The sequence below is a fragment of the Homo sapiens genome, chromosome 9, assembly GCF_000001405.40.
Source record: "Homo sapiens chromosome 9, GRCh38.p14 Primary Assembly".
Lineage (NCBI taxonomy): Eukaryota > Metazoa > Chordata > Mammalia > Primates > Hominidae > Homo > Homo sapiens.
The window spans coordinates 7959853-7966266 of NC_000009.12; the positions used below are offsets into that span (position 1 = coordinate 7959853).

The 6414-nt window shown below is 38.6% G+C and overlaps 1 long non-coding RNA gene across 6 annotated transcripts in view; it reads right to left on the reverse strand.

Annotated features, from left to right (window-relative positions):
• The window catches only part of LOC105375971 (uncharacterized), a 46690-nt gene extending 45309 nt beyond the window's left edge, over positions 1-1381 (reverse strand). For all 6 annotated transcript variants that reach the window (XR_929463.3, XR_929462.3, XR_929465.3 and 3 more), the window contains exons 1-2: positions 978-1381; positions 716-810 (exon numbers count right to left, since the gene is read on the reverse strand). This is a non-coding gene — a long non-coding RNA (uncharacterized LOC105375971). The remainder of the gene's footprint in view (positions 1-715; positions 811-977) is intronic.
• Between the last annotated feature and the right edge of the window lie 5033 nt (positions 1382-6414).

The window sequence follows — 6414 nt, forward strand, 5'->3', positions numbered from 1 at the left end:
GGTGTGGGGCTAGGTGGCTGGAAAATTTAAGGTTAGATTCCATGGCCTTAAATACAGTATCATAGAAGAGTCAGTAAATACTGGAAACCATTTTAGAGTCCTATGTATTTATTATCAGTGTATGTGTATGCTTCCCCCCACCTCCCAGATAATATGCAGCTTGTAGGTGGTGTCTGTGTCTCTGATCCCCTTAAGGAACAGGACTAGTCTTTTAGATAATAGGTGTTAATTATTTTGCATTAAAATTATTTAAGTTACTAAGTATCTTTCCCACTTAAAATTTCATAATGCCCCAGTAAGAAATATTAACGCTAGAATCCAAAGATCGTGGTAGGTAGAAGCTGCTCTTCCACAAATGCAGTTTAAAAATGCTTATTACTGCAACTGTTACCTCATTACTGCATGTTTGCAAACATTAAACTTTCTCTACTGAGAAGTGAGAAACTTTTCTAAAGTCAAAGTATCCAACCAAATTGCATCATGATTTTCCTTGACCTGGAATGGACAAAGCATTTCTTGATTCAAAAGTTTTTCTTTTTTTCTTTCTTTTTTTTTTTTTTTGTGGCCTCCTGATGTCCTAGACAGTAGTTTAAGTGATGGATGGATTGGAATCAATTGTATGCACTCTAACTATCCCTGCTATTGCTTCCGTGCAATTGTGCTGGAGCAGCAAATGAAGGATTAGAGGGTAACTCTCTGGGGGCAGTGAAAATACCCATCAATCTGTTCCTGCTGCAGGGTAATATGGATGATGTAAAGCTTGAGTAGCCAAAGATCACAGCGCATTGTTCTTCTGGAAGGAAGGGTCATCTTGAGAAAAAATAACAATAACAACAACTATTTAGTTCTCATCTCCAGCTGACCAACAGCCTCTCACTCCTTACACACACACACACACACACACAGAGCAAAATATGGGATCATAAAAATTATAATATGCTGTTTGATTATAACATTGCTATAGGATGGCAACTTACAGTATTTTATGATGACTGGCACAGAATGGGCTTGGCAGGAAAGGCTCTCATTCTTAGTTCTCAGGAGTTGATATTTTGCAAAATCCCCTGGCTCTTTCATTTCTGTTGGTTGCTGTTGCAGAAGAAAAGTGAAGATTTCCTCCCAGTCTTTTTCCTCTGCAACTCACAGCAATTGTGGCGGATACGTGGGGTCTGTTACCATTGGTAATGTTAGCCAAATTAGTAAGTGAGAACTCTGGAAAAGGAATTTCCTGGGGATTTTCATAAGTGGTAGCTAATTTGTTTATTTTGCTTTTATCATTTTTCCTCATGAGAAAAGAAAGAAAACAGTAGCCTATGGAAAAGATTAGGAGACAGAGGCCTCTGTCTCATTTCTACTTCCTCCTGCTGACTTTGGAGTGTTTGGGAGGTCAGAGTGGAGATTGTGAAGTAGGCGGGAGAACATTCTTGTATCTCAGGTATCCTGGAAACAAAACACACATCTGGGTCTTCAAGAAAAGCCTGGATACCTGGAGTGTGGGTCCCATTGAGCTAACGCAGGGAAAAGGAGAGAAATCCTTTGGGAAAAGTCATTTCTTTCCCTTTTGAGCAACCAAAAATTAGGCAGATGTTTTAATTAACTGCTTTTTTATTTTGTTTCACGATGTGGGTATATGTGTGTATTTGGTCCCGGGTTCAGCTTCTGATAGATATATCATCTACATAATAGGTTGTTTTCTAAAGAGCAAGGCTGTTAAGCTGGTTAAAAGCCTGAGCCTTGGAGTCAAAAGACTTGGGTTCACATTTCAACTCTGCCATTTATTAGCTAGATGACGATCAATTCTGGAACCACAAATGGCTGATTTCAGTGACAGACCCTAGACAAATTGCTTAAATTTCTGAAGTATCAATTTCTTTCTTCATCTGTAAAATAGAGATAACAATGGTAGCTAATCATAGTTGCAGTAAGAACTTAATTAAATAATGAATGTGTGTTTATAGCACTTTCAAGGCTAAGGCTGTTATACAGTAAATGATCAGTAAACATGGACATTTAAAAGCTCATTCTCTGCTCAGCTATGAACTGTTTTAAAGCTCAAATGTGATTGCAAGCCTGGGGAGAAAAATTTGCCATCTAGTATAGTATTCTGAGTGACACTTAGTGGTTGCTATGCCTTAATATCGCAAAGCACACACACACAGGCACACACACACATGCATGCACACGTACACACTCCAGAAATTACCCCTTTATAACAGAGATGCAGACTCAGATACATGGATTATGTCTGTAAGTAATACGATGTGGTAGTGATTCCAGTTATCAAACCTAGGTTAAATCAAAACCGTCCCATAATTCTAACCCAGAGTACGAGATAGTGTCTTAAATGACCTCCGCCATCCAGTTTTTGTACTTGAAGAAGTCAAATAGTTCTCCTCTCAACTTCTGTCTATTTTATACGTTGCTGTTGAACTGCCTCATTGTGATTCTTGAAGGTGCAACTGTATAGTAATTATCCACATCTGAAAAAGGAAGAAAAAAAATCTTACACTCTTGATGACTTATTTTTGCTTGGTGCTTGGCAAGCCATTTAAGTTAGGTTTTAATCAGTGTTGGCATCACTTCTGCTCATGCTATAAAGAATTATGTTCCTACATATGTGAAGCCCCAGGAGGAAAGAACCTTCAGACAACACTAAAGCTTTGGTCGGGCCTTCCCAGGAAACCATGCAGTCTTTATGGACCACTGGGAATAGCCTCAGATTTTCACAGATGTGATCGCTTCAAAAGGGTGACCTTCTGTGTAGTTCACATAATCAATTCCAGTCAATTCTCACTGCCCTCGTTTATCCCCCAAGGGGGAATAAGCTTGTAAGAATCAGAAGCATCTAAACAAGCAAAGGAAGACACCATAGAATGAAGAGGTGACAGACAATCAGGGGAGAGAGAGAAGAGGAAACCATTTGCAATGGTTTATAACTGCTTTCTCATAAATGTTTCAGTAATTGCAAAGTCTCTCTGATTAATGTTTATAGTTCCCACTCATTTCAGGCTGGCATATGACCCCTGATCCTTTGTTAGTATTTTGTATATGAGGACAGTGACACTGGGCATAGGCATTTCTAGTAATTTTGCCACCCAAAAATAATGTCAACCTTTTCTGTAACTGCAGTTGCAACAGATCAACCAGTTGCTGTGCACAATTGGCAAAAGCATGGGGTTTGAATTTTAGGACTCGTTTACAACCTGCATCAAGGAAGGGATAGCTGAGCTATAAACAAAGAAGGAAATGTGAGTTATAAAAGACGTAACCACAGAGATGTTTCATAGGTCACTTTCACAGTTGACTCAATATTGCTCAGTGTGGAATTAAACTCCTCAATGCCAACTTGGCAGCAAGTGCACTTTTTAATCTCTATATACAATTATAGTGTTGACAAGTCAAGGGGTCGAGGGGGAGACATGCCACACAGATTTGTCTTCAAGAAGAGACTTGTTGCCCAGCTGTGGAGAGCATAGTCAGCTGACAGCTGGAAACGGTCACCTCCCTCAGGGTAGACCGCAGCTGCAAAAAGCCTGCTAGTCCAAAACTTGGGACATCTCTAACAAGGAATATTTGCTTCAGATGTCCTCCACCTCCACTCTGGCATAGGGTGGCTGAGGCTATTTGGACCTATAGCAAACTTTGGCCTCTCTCACTCTGCCCAAGTGTGCTTCCTTCTAACCTTCATGAGTGTCGATACCTAACAAACATCTTGCTCCCCAAATTTAGTCTCACCATCTACTTCTGGAGATCTTGATGTGTAACATAATTTCTCACTAGCATACTGCTTTTAAATTTTTCCCCCAGAATTCAAGGAGCCCCCAAGGCTCCAAGGCTTGAAATCATTACACTGATGTTTGGAAGTAGAAGTTGCATAGATTCCTCCACTGTTTTGCTATTTGCTATTTGATATCCAGTGTTACTTTTGTGAGAACAGAATGAGTCTATACAGAATTAAATGAAGGCTGAGAAATTCATTTGTCAACTTATCGGGACTTGCATTAGGATATGAAGCTGGAAATAGAAGTACTGTAAGAACGATATAACCCCTGACTTCAAGAGGATCACAGTCTAAGAGAGAGTAAGAGACTAAACGAACCAAATATTATAGCCAAAAAAAAGTTTAAAAGGTAAAAAGAGTAAAGGATTGGAGGGGATAAGGTAGACAGAATAAAGACAGGGAGACACAGTGGAGAATAAATGGCAGAGGAGAAAGAGGAATCAACATCAGCTTACCATCATCCAAGGACATCAGATAATTCATCAGAGAAGAAATTTTTTTCTCTTGACTCAATCTTCATATTAGTTTTTGAGACTAAGTTATATTTCTAACAAAAGTCATTAAACAATTGCCTATAAAAATGGGTAAAATAGGGAAAAATGAGAAAAATGGGGGAAACAGAACTCTTCAGTCTCCTCAAAGAGTTCTGGTTGACTTTCCAACTAGCTCAGAACAGCATCATTTTCTTGTGTCACCTCAGTTGTGCTTCTTTTTTCGGCTCCCCACATTTTTTCGTAATCTTACTCAGCATGGATTCCATACTTCCACCCAAGTGCATATGTATTCCTTCTGTTCAAGAGACCCAGGCACTTGCATTTCATCTCGTTGGTCCAGGCAGATGGGAGCAGTGTGGCCAAACAAGTACAGTCAGAGACTTGGATTAAATCTAGTTGACTGCTGTGTTCCTTGTACTATATCAAAGTGAATGTCCGCCAATGTCACATAAGAATGTATACAAATTAACTGCAGACAAGAGGACATATGAGAAAAAGAATCAACAAAACTATAGTATTAAGGAATGTTTAAGTAAGTGAGTTGAATCAAAATAATTTAACTTAAAAATAAGTTAGTTGTGAAACGTAACAGCTTAAGTAGTAAATACAGATAAAGAAGACAGGAGGTTAAGGAAATTTAGGAAGTTAAACTTGGGAATAAGCAGACTGGAAAAATCTTAAGATTTATTCATGAATAAAAAATTGGAAAAATAAGACAGAATAATACCAAATCCTTTTATTGCTAAAGACTAATTTTAATGCACTTTGACGTACTGTCTCATTTTTTTTGAACACCCTATGAAAACTATAGAAACAGCAACTCTTGTCTTCCTTTTTAAAGTGAGGATACTGAGGTTTGAAGAGGATAAAAAGTTCACTTTTATAAACTGCTTCACTAGTTAGTGAAAAATCTGGAATCTATGCCCTGCTCTCTTGATTCTGAGTCTAAGACCTCTTCTCATTAGACCTTGATGAATGTCTTCTACGATTGAGGAGGATGAACACCGAGCTGCCAGAACCCCCATTCTTTATACAACCCAAGGAATACTTGAAAGAAAATAAAGAACTTTGTCCTTAGAAACAAGCCATCTGTTACAGAGAGGAGCAAAACAGCCAGGCATTCATGAGCCGCACATCAGTTCTGCCAGGATCTGGCTGGGCAGCCTCTGTTGCAAGGTGTTTAATCTCTGATTCCTGTAAATCAGGAACAATATCAACTGGTTGATGGAGAGTTTGGAGAAGTCCAGGGCAAAGTGAATGCAACAACAAACACCAACTTAACTTCAGCCAAGACCAGCTCTGCAAATTCTTTCTAGGGCAGGTCAGATTGATTAGGTTTACCTCTAGCCTAATGCCTATATTACCAATAGGAGCATCCGTGCCATTCAACCTATAATGCTTAGACATTGTGAAGAAAAATTGACAAGGATGACAATTTTTATCTGAAAAGAAACATACATTAAAATCTGGGCTTGTTTTTGTTTTCACTTGCTTAACATTTTTGTTCATCGTTTATAGCACATCGTCAGCAATGAGGAATGATGGTAATGAATCTCTTTTTTTCCTTGCTCTTGCTTTTTAACCCTTTTTAGTCTCATCTATCTATTTCTGTTTTTAATTGTGGAAGGGAAAGTTACAAAAATGCTGCTTTAAAATTATTAGAAAGGAGACATGACAGATCATTTTTTAATGTTTTGCATTTTCTCAAAGTATTAGCAGAACTCAAAAATGGTTGTTTTGTGATAAATAGCCATCATCTACTTTGGTAAAGTGGCATGCAAAATTGCTCCTGTGAATGCCAGACATAGTCCTGACTCAGGGACTTTGCAATTGCTATTCCTTCTGCCTGAGCACCTTTCCCATAGATATTTATCTTTCTGGCTTTCTCACCTCCTTCAAGTCTTTACTCAAATGACATATCTTAGTCAAGTCTTCCCTAATTACCCCGTTTTACATTGCAATCTGCCCTAGCATGCCCTACTCTCTTTTTCGACTTTATTTTTCCCATAAAATCATTGAATTTTAAGATCCTGTATAATTTACTTATAAGCTGGAGGCGGGAGACCTGAGTGATTGAAAGGTGGACTCTAGAGCCAACCTGCTTGGGATCAAGTTCTAGTTCTGCCTCTTATTACTTCT